Source organism: Homo sapiens, chromosome 15 (genome assembly GCF_000001405.40).
Source record: "Homo sapiens chromosome 15, GRCh38.p14 Primary Assembly".
Lineage (NCBI taxonomy): Eukaryota > Metazoa > Chordata > Mammalia > Primates > Hominidae > Homo > Homo sapiens.
Genome location: NC_000015.10, coordinates 52,370,011 through 52,386,772, shown reverse-complemented (window position 1 = coordinate 52,386,772; position 16,762 = coordinate 52,370,011). Strand labels below are relative to the sequence as shown.

General features: G+C 40.6%; 1 protein-coding gene across 12 annotated transcripts in view, besides 3 other annotated features; it reads left to right on the top strand.

Annotated features, from left to right (window-relative positions):
* Window positions 1-16,762, top strand: part of MYO5A (myosin VA) — a 221,768-nt gene that overhangs the window by 142,278 nt on the left and 62,728 nt on the right. For all 12 annotated transcript variants that reach the window (XM_047432544.1, XM_047432543.1, XM_047432540.1 and 9 more), the window contains 8 exon segments: window positions 2,451-2,612; window positions 3,585-3,682; window positions 6,865-6,951; window positions 7,040-7,148; window positions 10,215-10,426; window positions 11,313-11,469; window positions 14,410-14,649; window positions 16,356-16,604. In XM_047432544.1, the coding sequence (XP_047288500.1) occupies window positions 2,451-2,612; window positions 3,585-3,682; window positions 6,865-6,951; window positions 7,040-7,148; window positions 10,215-10,426; window positions 11,313-11,469; window positions 14,410-14,649; window positions 16,356-16,604 (1,314 nt within the window).
* Window positions 2,960-3,189: an enhancer, noted in NCBI's record as "active region_9429". NCBI's record gives its function as "activates an Ori minimal core promoter by ATAC-STARR-seq in GM12878 lymphoblastoid cells {active_cell/tissue: GM12878}" and the evidence as "EXISTENCE:reporter gene assay evidence [ECO:0000049][PMID:35858748]".
* Window positions 3,230-3,289: an enhancer, noted in NCBI's record as "active region_9428". NCBI's record gives its function as "activates an Ori minimal core promoter by ATAC-STARR-seq in GM12878 lymphoblastoid cells {active_cell/tissue: GM12878}" and the evidence as "EXISTENCE:reporter gene assay evidence [ECO:0000049][PMID:35858748]".
* Window positions 7,065-7,454: an enhancer, noted in NCBI's record as "active region_9427". NCBI's record gives its function as "activates an Ori minimal core promoter by ATAC-STARR-seq in GM12878 lymphoblastoid cells {active_cell/tissue: GM12878}" and the evidence as "EXISTENCE:reporter gene assay evidence [ECO:0000049][PMID:35858748]".

Here is a 16,762-nt window from a genome sequence, read left to right as displayed (position 1 = left end):
AGTTTAAGATCAGCCTGAGCAACATGGCAAAACCCCATGTCTACAAAAAAATACAGAAATTTGCTGGGCATGGTGGTGCATGGCTATAGTTTCAGGTACTTGGGAAGCTGAGTGGGAGGATCACTTGAGCCTGGGAGGTTGAGGCTGCAGTGAGCCGTAATTGTGCCACTGTACTCCAGCCTCGGAGACAGCGAGACTCTGTCTCCAAAAAAAAAAAAGAGTTAAAGTGTCTAACAGGCACTGGGCATTAACTGTTTATAGTTTACAGGATTGATATGTAAGAGAAAATTCCCACAATGCCAATCTCTAAGTATTATTCAGTTAAAGATCTTTATTGGTTTGATTTATAAGTAATGATAAAATTCTAGTTTTATTACTTTGTCAAAGTAATTTAGCTGAAACAGAACATTCACAGGTTTTCATCTGATTCTTGCTGTTGTTGTTGTTGTTGTTGTTGTTTTGAGACAGTGTCTCACTGTCACCCAGGCTAGAGTGCAGTGATGTGATGATCATAGGGCTCACTGCAGCCTCGACCTCCCTGGCTCAGGTGATCCTTCCACATCAGCCTCCCAAGTAGCTGGGACTACAGATGCATGCCACCATGCCTGTCTAATTTTTTGTTGAGATGGGGTTTCACCATGTTGTCCAGGCTGGTCTTGAACTCCTGGTCTCAAGGGATCCACCCACCTCGGCCTCCCAAAGTGCTGGGATTACAGGTGTGAGCCACCACACCTGGCCAGGTTCTCATTCTTGAGGCATCTTTGATCAGTTATCTTTATTCTGATTTAGTTTTCTAATTGGCTTTTGAGTCCTTAGTCATCATAAGGTGGGTATGCATTCTGACAAATCATTTGCAGTGACTGCCAGTCTGTGTAACATTGTTTCCATTGAAGTGGGGACAGTGTGTGATTTACCTAACATAGCTTGGAGGCTTCCTCTGCTGCTGGTCTTTGCTGAAACCCAATCTAGGAGTATCAACTTCATAATTTCACTGCATCTGATAGAAGCCAGTATCACATAGTGTAAATGTGTTCTCTTGGAAGTACTAATTTTAGAAGATTAATATCTGTGTTATGTGTTTTGAGTAGAATTATTTTTGTAGTAATACAGTGTGGAGTATGTTTGTGTATTTATGTGTTTTGTCTTTTTTTTTCCTGCAGCCTCTAGCTTACAATTTGAAAAGGAGTTTAAAAAAATATATATATATATGGAATTATAAACTTATCAGAAGGTGCTTTATTTGATATTTTTCCACCATAAAGAAATCTTCTGTGGCCACATCTAATATCAGGAAGCATATAAATAAATTGCAACTTGACTAAATACCACTGAATTTCAGTTCTACCAAATACCATTAAAATGAGTTTTAACCCTCTACTTTCTGTATAGCTGATTAATAAGGGGAAGCACAGTTCATCTACTGAGTTTATGCCTCAGATCTCTCATCTATAAAATAGAATCATGATAGCATCTAATTTATGGAATTGTTATGAAGATTAAATAGGTTGTATTAAGGTTAATAGATATATAATTATAGTTGCAAATATAGCTTGACTAATTAGAAGAACTGGTTTTATTTATATGGGATGTGGCACTGTTGTAAAGATATGTACATACATCAAGATGTTCCTTTGGATTCATTTGAAGTCTCTTTTTTTCCATAAAATTTCTCCCAACCATATTGACTAATATCATCTACCTACTTATTGAGTACCAGATCTTTTAATAATCTTTCACATTGCTAACCTGATAGAACACAAAATTGATTACAGGAATTATTTGTTGAAGTTATAAATCCCTTGAAAACAAATATCAAATGTACAGGATATGGGTAGGGTTTTAAACTTTTTTTTCTGTAACCCGAATTATCTTCCAAAAATTATTATTCATAACTTTTAAAACCTTCTAATATTGTAGAATTTGTTTATGACCCTTTCCTGCTGAGATTTTCGGTGATGTTTTTCAGTTAGTGCTCAGCACTTAAGTTAGTAGGTAGACAAATAAAGCAGGTGAGTAGACACTTGATAAATAACTTGCAAACTTGGACTAGTGTTTTTCTCCACCTGATGCTAAAACAGTTTGTGGAACTGAGGTAATAAGACTTTCAATTACTGTTTTTCTCGTAAAATAATTATAGTTCAAGCCCATTAATATGTTTAGATTTGTCACTTCCTGTGGATTAGGTTTTCAAGTCCGGGTGCAGTAGTTTTGACTTTGCTTTCCCCCAGACATGGTTGTAGAATTATTGCATTTTTCCGTGTTATTTTTGTATAGCACTTACCTCACCTTCCTCTCATATTCTTGGCTCTTAGCACAGATACTGACTCTTTCTGGAGTGTGACTCTGACAGTGATTACTTAAGGAAGGGAATCTCTGTAATATTTCTTTTGTGAAGGTTTGCGTTCAAGTTTGGTTTAGAATGTAATTTCTTTATATTGTTTCTGACTTAGTTTAAGATGCTACCAGAACTATTTCAAGATGATGAGAAGGCCATCAGTCCAACTTCAGCCACCTCCTCAGGGCGCACACCCCTCACACGAACTCCTGCAAAGCCCACCAAAGGCAGACCAGGCCAAATGGCCAAAGAGCACAAGAAAACAGTGGGGCATCAGGTGAGTTCAGGGAGCTGCCGCTGCCACGCTCCTTCCTTTCTGGCTCATCTGAAACCTCAGATCTTCCCTCTTCAGCCTCCCAGGTGGGATCCTCAGGTGAGGAGAGCCTAGAGCTTTCACTGTGAGATCATACGACACCATCCACTAAAACTCTTCTCCACCCAGTTTTAGACCTGTGACTCTGCATAAGCCTTTCCCGAAATAATTTTCTCTACAGCTTAATTCTCTCGTGCATATCGTCTCTCAGACCACCCCATCTTTGCTTAGTTTTCTGTTTGTTTTGTCTCTATATTTGTACAGTGCCTCGGTCAGCTCCTTCAGAACAGGGCCCTCGCCTTTCTTTGATGTCTTATGTTCTCTGAGAGTGGGAAATGTTACATACATGCTTAGTGCCTGAACAGGGAGTAGGGCTTTGAATGGAGGCTGAGCGCTCCTCAGCTTGCTGTCCTGTGCATGGGACCCTGTGCCTGGTGTAGACAGAAACAGGGCCTGACCCAGGTCCACAGCCTCCAGTCCTGATCCTAGGTCCCTAATTTTAACTCCTCTCTGCCTATCCTTTGTCATTCTCTCATTCATTACCTATACTCTTTTAAGTCATCTGCTACGTTTTCCAGTATCTTCCATCAAAATTCCCACTTTATGTGATTAAATAGCCTTAAAGCAAGGTTATATTGTTAGTTACATATGACTAAGCTCATAACAGGTTTCTGTAGCTTCCTGTGGGGAAAAGGAGTGGGAGTATAGGAATCTATATTTAGCAGAGTAAGCATGAAAATGGTAGAATTTAGGCAAATTTTAACCAAAAGCCCTAGCATTCTTGTTTTGTGGCAGCTCCTCTTCTGAAGATGGGTCAAGTTTATAAGTGGCAAAGTTTTCTCCATTAGTGTCATAGGAAGGGAATTTCCCATTGTTTTACCTCACCTTTGACTTTGGACAAAGCCTTGATACCCTCTTCTGCCCTTTTTCATGCAGTTCAGAAACTCCCTGCACCTGCTTATGGAGACACTCAATGCCACTACCCCTCACTATGTGCGCTGTATCAAGCCTAATGACTTCAAGTTCCCATTCACGTAAGTATTTCTGAACCACCCAGTGAAAAAGTACATATCTTATAAGAAGTGCCAAACCAGCCAAGCAAACTAATATTTTCCTTACATTTTTATAAGGAAAAAAATATTTGGGTAAGTCTTCATGCCTTGTAGAGGGAAACCACTAGTCAGTAGATTATTTTTTCAGTTTTTGTCCCTTTTGAGAATGTGAGAGTAAATTAGCAGCCATCTGAAGATTTGAAAACTTGAGGTCAACCAAGCATTCTGGTTCTGTTTTCTGTTTTGAATTTACTTCAATTGATCTCTCTGGGATTTTTGTTCATTTGGGCATTAGGTGGAACCAGCACTGGCTGGGATAAGGCTGTTTGGCGAATGCTTACCTGCTGCTTCTCCACTGCTGAAATCATCAGAGGGTGTCTGTTTTCACCAGCACCTCCTCCTGCTTCAGATACCATGCATGAAGGGAGAATCAATTTTTCTGGAGTTTTTTTTACAAAACAGAAATATTTTTCTAATTTTATGTATGTATTTATTTATTTTGAGATAGAGTTTCACTCTTCTTGCCCTGGCTGGAGTGCAATAACGCGATCTCGGCTTACCGCAACCTCTGCCTCCCAGGTTCAAGTGATTCTCCTGCCTCAGCCTCCCGAGTAGCTGGGATTACAGGCATGCACCATCATGCCCAACTAATTTTCTATTTTTAGTAGAGACAGGGTTTCATCATCTTGGCCAGGCTGGTCTTGAACTCCTGACTTCGTGATCCGTCCCCACTCGGCCTCCCAGTGGGATTACAGGCGCGAGCCACCATGCCCAGCCTATTTTTCTAATTTTAAAAGTAATACATGTACATTGTAAAGACAGTTTTCAGGAAATACAGAATAGTATAAAAATAAATGAAAAAGCATCCGTCAGCCGGGTGCAGTGGCTCACACCTGTAATCCCAGCACTTGGGAGGCCAGGGTGGGTGGATCACCTGAGGTCAGGAGCTTGAGACCAACCTGGCCAACATGGTCAAACCCTGTCTCTACTAAAAGTACAAAAATTAGCCGGGTGTAGTGGCGGGCGCCTGTAATCCCAGCTACTCGGGAGGCTGAGGCAGGAGAATCACTTGAACCTGGGAGGCTGCAGTTGCAGTGAGCCGAGATCACTCCACTGCACTCTAGCCTGCGGGACAAGAGTGAGACTTCGTCTCAAAAAAAGAAAAAAGGAAAAGAAAAAGCATCCATCATACCCAGAGAGATAACTGGTATTAACTGTCATACATTGTTCTTGATTAACCACCTTCCCTTCCCTCCATGCTCCGTGTGTGTGTGTGTGTGTGTGTGTGTGAGAGAGAGAGAGAGAGAGACACAAAAGGAGGGGCCTTGTGCTATGATTGCTGTTTAGTCTTTACTTTTAACTTGACAGATTGTGAACACTTTCCCTTTTGGTAAGTAAAAAGTCACATAATCATATAATGGCTACAGAGTATCCCATTGTGTAGACATAGTATATTTATTTAAATTAGTTCCTACTGATGGCCATTTAAGTTGTTCCAACAATGCTATAATAAACATCCTGTGCCAAACATTTTTGTATATTTGTCTGATTATCTCATTGGGATAATGTGACTCTAGAAGTGGAATTTATAGGTCAAAGACCAGGCACACTTAACAAAGGTTGTAATAGCTCCCACCCCTCACCCCCTCCACAGTGTATGAGTGCCCTTTTCCCTACCCCCGTGCCAGTCCTGCTGTCTGGAGATTCTGCCTTAGACTGGAGCACAGTTCTGAAGGACTGCTGTCTTTCTCTCTGCTTCATCACCAAGAAGTCCTTTCTGGAAGAAGTGGGAAGCAGGAAGAAGCTGCTACACTTTGGCCTCTGTCCTGGACAGCCCTCAGGACCATGACCTTTTATCAACCAACCCGCTCTTCCACCACCAACAGACACCTGAGAAGATAGCACAGGGGAGGCCCGGATGGATCGCTCAGAACTTAACTATGGGAGTCACAGGAGCAATCATTTGGCCGAAGGGAAACCTTTCTACTTCCTCTTCAGTGCCAGTTTAACTTGAAGATGTCATTTGCCTAGAGTAAAATAAATACAAAATGTAATACAAAACAAAAATCTTGTTCATTGATGTAGACACTATGTTTAGAACAGTAGTAATTTTTAAAAAAATATAACCGTATGGGGCATATTTAATTTGTGCTTCCTGTTAGAGAAATCTCCAGGGTTGACCAGTCTTTATTCCAGGGGAGCTCTGTATACTGAGCTAATGACTTCTGAGAGCTTCTTGTCAGGCCATGCCATGAAATGAGTATGGGCAAAGTGCAAAGGAGTGCTGTGTTGTTGCTGTTGTTTTTTAGACGGAGTCTCGCCCTGTCACCCAGGCTGGAATGCAATGGCGTGGTCTCGGCTCACTGCAACCTCTGCCTCCCGGGTTCAAGCGATTCTCCTGCCTCAGCCTCTGGAGTAGCTGGGATTACAGGCGCCTGCCACCATGCCTGGCTAATTTTTGTATTTTTTGTAGAGACGGGGTTTCACCATGTTGGCCAGGCTGGTCTCAAACTGCTGACCTCGTGATCCGCCTGCCCTTGGCCTCCTAAAGTGCTGGGATTACAGGCGTGAGCCACTGCGCCCAGCCATGTTGTGTTGTTTTAAATGTGCTCAGTGGACTTTCTTTTTGTTGTTGTTGAGACAAAATCTCATTCTGTCACCCAGGCTGGAGTGCAGTGGTGCGATCTTGGCTCACTGCAACCTCTACCTCCCAGGTTCAAGTGATTCTCCTGCCTCAGCCTCCCAAGTAGCTGGGATTACAGGTGTATGCCACCATGCTCGGCTAATTTTTCTGTTTTTAGTAGAGACGGGGTTTCACCATGTTGGCCAGACTGGTCTTGAACTCCTGACCTCAGGTGATCTACCCTCCTGGGCCTCCCAAAATTCTGGGATTATAGGTGTGAGCTACCTCGCCCAGCACACTCTTATGAGTTTGTGGTTTGAGTTGCAGGTAATGTTTACAGCTCTTTATTTTTACTGCTTATCATCTCCTCCCCATTCTCTCATAGTTTTCCATTTTGATCACTGCTCCGACTTCTGAAAGCTTTCTTTTCTGATTTATCCATTTTGCTCTTACGAAAGAATTTACACCCTGACTGAGGAGAGTAATTTGTGGCCACCAGCCAGGTTCTTTGTGGACTAACAGCTTTGATTTTTATTTGTAGGTTTGATGAGAAGAGGGCAGTGCAGCAGCTGAGAGCATGTGGTGTCCTGGAAACCATCCGAATCAGTGCGGCCGGTTTCCCCTCACGGTGAGCCTGGCATTTTTCAGATGTAAGGGATCCTAATGGGAGAAGATCCTAGTTCTTTAAGTAAACTCAGATGGTTTTCTTTTAATAGGTGGACTTACCAAGAATTTTTCAGCCGCTACCGTGTCCTAATGAAGCAGAAAGATGTGCTGAGTGACAGAAAGCAAACATGCAAGAATGTGTTAGAGAAACTGATACTGGTGAGAATGATTTCGCTTACCGTCATCTGAGCAGAAGGCCTTGTGGTTCTGACCTTGGAAAGCCCCGGGAACTTTTGTATAACATTTTACTAGTCCAGATCATTTCGGGGTGGGATCAGAGAGGGGCACACTACTGTGTTTAGGATGCTGGAACTAGCGAGGATGATAGTCCACCGTCAGGAGGCAGAGCTGTGAGGCCTGGACCCACATTTGAAACACATTCTTCTTAGACAGCTTGATTATTATTGATAAAAGTGTACCTAGTACTTACATCTAGAAGACACCAGGCCAAATGCTGTGTGATTAAGAAAAAATAAAGCTTGTTCTCAGGTAATATAGTCTTACTTGGAAAGTAATACTTTTTAAAGACGAGTATAATATTTAACTGTAGTGTCTATATCAAATGCTGAATGAATGGAACAAGAAATCAGGGGATGACAAAGCGACGTCCAGCTATGGGAAGGAGAGATTTCATCAAAGAGGTGTGTTTTGAGTCAGGCCCTGAGAATGGGTAAGGTTATGCAAAAATGGAAGGAGACTATTATAAGAGGGAGTAAGAGCAGGGTAAGCATAGGGTTTGCTCAGAAAACAGTTTTTTGCAGTGTGAGATTTGTGTATGGGACAGTAGAGAAATGGTTAGGAAATGTAGGTTGGTGTTACAGAGAGTCTTGCAGACCAGGCTAAAGAGTTCTCCAACTTTACTGTGACCTGGAATGCTTGTTAAAATACAGATTGCTGGGCCCCGCCATCAGAATTTCTGATTCAGTAGGTCTGAGGTTGGGCCCAAGAATTTGTATTTCCCGGGTGATGCCGATGCTGTCTGAGGACTATATTTTGAGAACTACTGATCTTGGTCTTAGAGAATTAAAGATTCATGAAAAGTTTTTAAAATAATATTTTCACTTGGTTAACACTATCCTAGATGGAGTACCTCACTTTGAGCTAATTGATCATAATTACTAGCTGTGAACTAAATGTGATGCCTTTTTTTTGTTAATAATATTTTTTCCTTGAAAGAGCTAAGGCCACTTCCTCAGCAATGCTTTTTTTTTTTTTTTAACTGGGGCTTTTTGAGTTTGCCCCAATTCCCTTCTTTTTTTTTTTTTTTTGAGACAGTCTTGCTCTTTCACCCAGGCTGGAGTACAGTGGCATCTCGGCTCACTGCAACCTCCGCCTCGTGGGTTCAAGCCATTCTCCTACCTCAGCCCCCCCAGTAGCTGGGATTATAGGTGCACACCACCACACCCAGCTAATTTTTGTATTTTTAGTAGAAACAGGGTTTTACCATGTTGGCCAGGCTGGTCTTGAACTCCTGACCTCGTGATCTGCCCGCCTCGGCCTCCCAAAGTGCTGGGATTACAGGTGTGAGCCACTGCGCCCAGCCTGCCCAATCCCCTTCTAACCTGTGTTCAGGTGGGAATGTAGAGCAGAAAGTAGGAACAGGCCTATTCCTGGTCCTCTCACCCAGGCCATTTCAGGCCTGGATCAGGGCTTTGTGGGAATTTAGTTAGGCAGAGGAGGCTGAAAGATGGAGGCAGGGTTGGTGTGAGGTGTGAAGCGGGATGCGGGTAAGGACCACTTTTCTAGCTAGGTTTCCAATGTAAACTTTATTGATTTAAATTGAAATAATTGTAGATTTTTTAGATATATGTGGATGTGTCAGATTTTTTGGTTTCATATATGAGATAATATGAGATATCTACTCATAGGGAAAAATGATTTTCTCTGTTTTCCCTTAGACTTTCAGATCACATGGCCAAGCATGGTGGCTCACGCCCTTAATCCCAGCACTTTTGGAGGCCGTGGCGGGCGGACTGCTTGAGGCCCAGCGTTTGAGGCCACCCTGGCCAATATGGTGAAACCCTGTCTCCACTAAAAATACAAAAATTAGCTGGACGTAGTGGTGTTTACCTGTAATCCCAGCTACTCAGGGGGCTGAGGCAGGAGTGTCGCTTGAACCCAGAAGGCGGAGGCTGCAGTGAGCCGAGATTACAGCACTGTACTCCAGCTTGGGAGACAGAGCGAGACTCATCTCAAAAAAAAAAAAAAAGAATTCCAGGTCACAGTAATGATTCTTACATATAAATTCCATTCTTTGATGCAAGAATGATTAATGATTTGCATACTTCTAGATAAGGTGAATCACAATGTAATATAAATTATTATGTTTTTGTAAAAGGAGTTTGAAAGGATTTTTTTTTTTTGAGACGGATTCTTGCTCTGTTGCTAGGCTGGAGTGCAGTGGCGCGATCTTGGCTCACTGCAACCTCCACCTCCTGGGTTCAAGCAATTCCCCTGCCTCAGCCTCCCAAGTAGTTGGGAATACAGGTGCATGCCACCATGCCCGGCTAATTTTTTGTATTTTAATAGAGACAGGGTTTCACCATGTTGGCCAGGATGTTCTCGATCTCCTGACCTCATGATCCGCCAGCCTTGACCTCCCGAAGTGCTAGGATTACACACGTGAGCCACTACACCCGGCCAATTTGTAGGATTTTAAACATATTTATGGGGTTTTGTTAGTTTGTTTTCAGATATTATTGATAAAGCCAAGAGCTAACTGTTTAGAAACATAACTCAATATGAATACCCAAGGATTTTGGTTTTTGGTTTTTGAATTTTATTTCATAAACGTTTCTTCCTGCCTTATTCTTCACACTGGTGTTTTTGTCCCTTCAGCTTCTCATGGAATATACAGCCCGCTGTAATCCTTACAACCTGGGTCAGTCAGAGAGAGTCAGCATCTCCATTTCCTTGAGATGTTTAAAACACAAACAAGCAAATAATAACTGCCTATAACCCACAACCAAGTTTTGGGCCTCAGATAATAATTCCAGGTAGAATAATTCTGGAAAATAACTCTTAAACTGCAGTTTTTCTTAAAATCCCTTCTATTTGCTCAACTTGCATAGGATTAAAAATCTGGCTCCATTAGTTAATTGTGATGTAGCCCAAGTTTTAGCTAATAGAGTCATTCCTTTACTGATTCTGCTTTTAGACATTTTTTCTTTTAAATTTCACTTATATGATTATTATTTCTGAATATACAATTTCTTCCAAAAATAGGACAAGGACAAATACCAGTTTGGTAAGACAAAGATCTTTTTCCGTGCCGGTCAAGTGGCCTATCTAGAAAAATTGAGAGCTGACAAACTGAGAGCTGCCTGCATCCGGATCCAGAAGACCATCCGAGGGTGGCTGCTGAGAAAGAAGTACCTACGCATGCGGAAGGCAGCCATCACCATGCAGAGATACGTGCGGGGCTACCAGGCCCGATGGTAGGTCTCCTGGGGACAGAGTAGAGTGCCCATCTAATTCACTGTCCAACCAAGGACAGTTTTGACTGGTCACCATAGCTGAAAAGATAACACCTCACCTTTTCTTAGTTCCAAGGGACAACAAATTAACTCATAGGACAGCTAAATAGAATAAAATTTCACTCAGCCTTATGAATGATTCAGATTTATCTTCAAAACATTTACAAACTGCTGCTTACTTATGTCCTCAAAATTTTTATTTTTGATACTTTTATATTGGGCTTGAGGAAATCATGTATCAATTAAAACAGTCGTGAATATGAGCTAGGTAATAATGACTTCATTGTATAATTTTTGGGAGCAATTAACTGAGAGGGTCTGGAAGAGAATTACACTTTAGTGTGATTACTTATTAGTTTAATTTTAATTGAGAAGTATAAGTAGAACTGAATTAATCATGAGCTTATAGCCTAACAAAATCAGGAAAAATATGGTAGATGAATAATGGCTAGATCCAAGAAAGCTGGTGATAACTAAGTATGAGATTACTGTGTATGTCTGTCTGTTCTATAAAGAGGCATGGCCTGGGGTAAATGGATCCTGTTGTAGAAAGAATGAATTTTTGTGAATTTTGCTTTCTTGTAAAATCTGGCAATGTGGGCCATCCTACTTTCCAGAGTTAGGGAGGGCTCAAATGAGATAATAAATGCAAAAATACTTTGGGAAACTATAAATTGCTATACAAATGTAAGTAAATATAAATGTTGACTTAGCATGCACATTATTAGAATAATACAATGGAGGTACTATTTATGCCTAAAACAGTGACACTCTTTAAGTTTCTCTAATATGTATTCCTGCATTTTTTTCTGATTACTGACAACATAATGTTATTTTCTTTGGCCAGCTATGCTAAGTTTCTGCGCAGAACCAAGGCAGCAACCATCATTCAAAAGTACTGGCGCATGTATGTGGTCCGCAGGAGGTACAAGATTAGACGAGCTGCCACTATCGTTCTTCAGTCTTACTTGCGAGGCTTCTTGGCCAGAAATAGGTATCGCAAGGTGAGGCATTATTTTCAACTTTGTTTATTCATTCTATTAGCATTAACCAAATTTCACATCTATACAGAGTACCACAGGGGCTACAATGAAGGTAGGAACTGTATGGGGACAACCAGCTATTGAAATGCATATTTATTTATTTTAAAAAATTCTTTTTTAGAAATAGGATCTCGCTCTGTCACCCTGGCTGGGGTGCAGTGGTGCAGTCATAGTACACTGCAGCCTCAAACTCCTGGCCTCAAGCAGTCTTCCCACTGTGGCTTCCCAAAGTGCTGAGATTATAGGTATGAGCCATTGTGCACATGCCCAGCCTGAAATGCATTTTAAAATACTAAATAATCACATACAGTTATTAACAAAACAATGGGAAAAAAACTTTTACCTCCTTCTTTCTCTTTGTTTATATAATTTGAAAAAAAAAGTATGTTAGTTTACTGTGGCTGCTATAATAAATTATCACAAACTTGTTACCTTAAAACAGCCAAAATTAATTCTCTCAGAGTTCTGGAGACCAGAAGTCCAAAATCATTATCAATGGGACAAAATCAAGTTGTCAGCAGGCTGCTCTCCTTCCAGAAGCTCCAGGGGAGAATCCATTCCTTGCCTCTTGCAGCTTCTGGTGGCTGCCAGCATTCCTGTGCTTGTAGCCACATCAGTCCAGTCTCAGCCTCTGTTTTCACAGCATTTTCTCTTCTGTGTATCTGACTTGACTTCTCCTATCTGCCTCTTATAAGAATAATTATGATAGCATTTGGTTCCACCCATGTGATCCAGGATAATCCTCCCATCTGAAGACCCTTAACCTAATCACATCTGCAAAGGCCCTTTTTCTGAATAAATAGCATTTGCAGGTTCCAGGGATTAGCACCTAATTTCCTTGGGGCCCCCTATTCAGATGACTACAGAGAACTTTGAATAGATAGAATATATGACAAACAGGTTAAAGGTTATTCCAAGAATGAGACAACCTTGGAAGAATTTACCATGGTGAAGAGGAGGCAAATTATAACATTAATGTGGTTAAAATTGTATTGACAGATACAATGCTCCAAAAGTTTTTGACAAATAATCTTACATCTAGCAATAATTAATGGGGTCACCAGAGTAGTCTTAATTATCACCTGTGACCATTGATGAACGATTTTTATCTCTTTCATTTTGGCAAGGTTTGGAGTCTATCCTACAGGCTATATTTCAAATCAGTGAGAAATACAAGCCTGGATATTAGAGCTCTATGGACATCACCATTAGAAGGAGCATTAATGGGGTGATTTGGGTCTCTAAGCACAGACAGTATATGGGTGTGACCTAGGCCCTATTTATTTATTTATTTATTTATTTATTTATTTTTATTTGAAGTGATTTTAGACAACAAAAAATTCGAAACTGGTGAGGCTTGAATGAGTGTATTTAATAGCTGTGTTTTGAAGATAGCTACTCCAGATCTTTCTGCTCACCCCTCCTTTATGTAGTCTCATGCTCTTTCTATATAAGCGTGAGATTTTAGGGAGGAAAGAGGTTTGAAGTTGCTTTTCAGATACACCAAACTAGTTACCTTCCTGTGTTCCTCACTACTTTCCTTAGGAACATCTGAGCTGGGTTTTGAGGTCACTGGTTTAGCAGTGGCAGCCTCCGGCCAGCTCAGGCTCCCACTGTGACTGGACAGGGTGGAAGGTGGTAGCGTAGAGGCTTGCTCACATGTAAGCCAACAGCCATCACATTAGTGCTCCTTCTAGCTGTATTTCAGGTCCAAGGTTCCCCTTCATGAGATTTGGAGTGGGGGGGTCTTAAAGAGAGTACAGGTGTTGATTAATTTCTCTCACTCATGATGAAAGTGAGATTGAAAATGGAAGCTCTGATTAAATGCTGTTTCCATTTGACTAAAATTACAAAAATGGACCCATGTCCAAAGTTACATGGGAGAAGCAAATGGAACAGGAAAATTGGCATTAATAGTTTTATTTATCCAGTCACTGTGCCTGGCTACCTCTTCTTAAAATTCAAGAATTTCTTCTCCATCTTTCCTAGAAAATGTTTACACGGTGTCTTTTTGGTGCTCTTTAGCGACAACAAATTCATCTAATAAGGCAAACTTTTGTTTGTTTATAAGTTTAGGGAAATATCATTTTTTTTTAGGAAATGTAACATAAAATCAAAAGTAAGATTAGTTTGTTTCACATCTTTTTACTTTTACCTTTCATTTTAAAGCCCCATCCCTCCTACCTTTGAATCCCAAAAGTGGATCCTTGCTACATTTGAAATAGCAATGGAAAATCCTCACTAGAATGGTATTCCTCAAATGTGGTAAACAAGAGTGTCATCTTTTAGTTTCTAAAAAAAAAAAAAATCAATAAATCAGTACAAACTTTTTAGTACCCCAAGTGTTGGCCTCTACAGACAGTTTGCTGCCCATACCCCGTGTCCTCATGCACGGGCCTAATAATGCATAGTGAGGTGGTATCAGCAGTCAGGGTGGTGGGGATATCTCTTATTTTAGTAGCACATAGTTTACAGGATGCCTGGTTCTGTTAATTTTATAGAGGATCATCTGTTGCCAACAGAAATCATATACTAATAAGAAACCTAATGTATTTTTTCTTTCTTTTTATAGTTGTTTTTCTTTTGGTAATCTGGTGCTTTTTATTTAGACAGCTTCCAACTCTATATTCTGCTTAGAATTATACACATAATATGTGCATATGACACATTTTTATGTATGTTTCTGAAATCACCTTCTAAAGTCTACTTTTCAAATCACTTTTAAAAATAATTTTGTAGCCTCCATATATCTGTGATAAGTATAATCTACATAGTACATTGTCAATTCAACTTTTATGTCTTTTCCTCTAGGTAATGTGTGGATTTTCAGCCCGACATAGATTGATAATCATGAGTGTAGTCCAGGGTCTTGACATTGCTTGCCCTTATCCTTTTCTGCAGATACTCCGTGAGCACAAAGCAGTCATCATTCAGAAGCGAGTCCGGGGCTGGCTGGCCCGCACACACTACAAGAGGAGCATGCATGCCATCATCTACCTTCAGTGCTGCTTCAGGCGGATGATGGCCAAGCGTGAGCTAAAGAAGCTCAAAATCGAGGCTCGCTCAGTGGAGCGCTATAAGAAGCTGCACATCGGCATGGAGAACAAGATCATGCAGCTGCAGCGCAAAGTTGATGAGCAGGTGTGTTTCACAAAGGGGCCCTGAGAGTGGAGTATGCCTGAAGAAATCCACCAGGATTATTTTCAATATTGTTTTTCTTTGACTTTACCCTTCGGTCTTAGTAAAAAGTAAAATTATGACCGTATTTATTTCCATAATGGGCATGGAAGTACTTATGAACTCATAAGGTGGATCACAATTGCAAAAACTAAGGCAGGAAGTTATTATTATTATTATTATTATTATTATTATTATTATTATTATTACTATTATTTGAGACAGGGTCTCACTCTGTCGCCCAGGCTAGAGTTCAGTGGCATGGTCACAGCTCACTGCAGCCTCAACCTGCTGGGCTCAAGTGATCTTCCCACCACAGCCTTCTGAGTATATGGGACTACAGGCACGTACTACCACACCCAGCTAATTTTTTTATTTTGTAGAAACAGGGTCTCATGTTGCCAGGCTGTTGCCTCAAGCAATCCTCCTGCCTCAGCCTCCCAAAGTACTGGGATTACAAGCATGAGCTACCATGCCTGGCAGGAAATTATTTTTGAGAACAGAGATCTACTAATGCTTCAAACCTTTATGACCAAGAGTCATATTGTATGTTACTTATTTTTCAAACACCAGCTTGAACCAGGCATACTGTATTTTGTACTTGGCAATGCTCTATCAAAATTATCATTTATTTTCATGTGGTATCATGTTCATTTTACAGATGAGTTGGTTTAGCATTGAAATAGCAAAAGCATCAGGAAAATGTTGATGCTTCTGATGAACTTGCAATCTGTTGCAGAGATAAAAGTTTGTTTGATTAAAGATAGTTACTAATATTTTAGCACATGTAAATGATATAAAGGTAATTAAGAATATAAAAATGCTAAGGAGAGCAAAGCAAAACAGGGATCAGAATGAAATGGGATGGAAGATTTTCTGAGTGGGAGGGAGAAATTTTGAGGTAGTAAACATAAAGATTTGTGAGAAACGTGTGTGTGTGTAGGGAGAGGGTTTTTTTTTTTTGTTTTTTGTTTTAGGACAGATTCTCACCCTGTCACCCAGGCTAAAGTACAGCAGTGCAATCACGGCTCACTACAGCCTCAAACTCCTGGGCTCAAGTGATCCTCCTGCCTCAGCCTCCCAAGTAGCTAGGACTACAGGTACACACCACCATGTCTAGCTAATTTTTAAATTTTTTTGTAAAGACGGGGTCTCATTATGTGCCCAGGCTAGTCTTGAACTCCTGGCCTCTTGTGATCCTCCTGCCTTGGCCTCCCAAAGTGTTGAGACTATAGGTGTGAGCCACTACACCTGGCCAACTTGGGATTTTGAGGCTGTTTTAATCATTCGTACGCATCACTAAGCTAGTAAATGGTTTTTAGCAACATTTTGATCTGTTTTCAAAAACAAGTATAGATCCTCCTATTTCTGAATTAAGAATCAGGAAATTAAGAATTTACTATGTAACTCACCCTGTGACTATGAGAAAATCACATCCATCTTGCTTACCACATCAAACAGAATTGAATTAATTGTGCCTGTTTTCTTCTCTGTTTGTGTCACCTAGAAGGTATTGGTTGTGCTATTGCAAATGTTGTAGTATTTTGGTTGGATACTATATCAATGTTATGATGATATAGCATGAATATGATGAATAAACATGGTTTTCTTACTAAATACATTTGATGATATGTGTATTTACTTATTGTTACTTATGTGTATGTTTAAAGAACAAAGACTACAAATGCCTTGTGGAGAAACTAACCAATCTGGAAGGAATATACAACTCTGAGACTGAGAAACTACGAAGTGACTTAGAACGTCTTCAACTAAGTGAAGAGGAAGCGAAAGTTGCCACTGGGCGGGTCCTTAGTCTGCAGGAAGAAATTGCCAAGCTCCGGAAAGACCTGGAGCAAACTCGTTCAGAGAAAAAATGCATTGAGGAACATGCAGATCGATACAAACAAGAAACAGAGCAGGTAGGAATAATGTCCATATCCCCATCTACTCCGTACACAAAAGAGAGGTGCTGTCATCATGACTTGGTCCGTGTGACTCACTGTTGGTTTTATTAGAAATGCAGTACAAATTTTAGTTGAATTACTGTTCATTATTACTGTTTCCCAAGCATTTATTT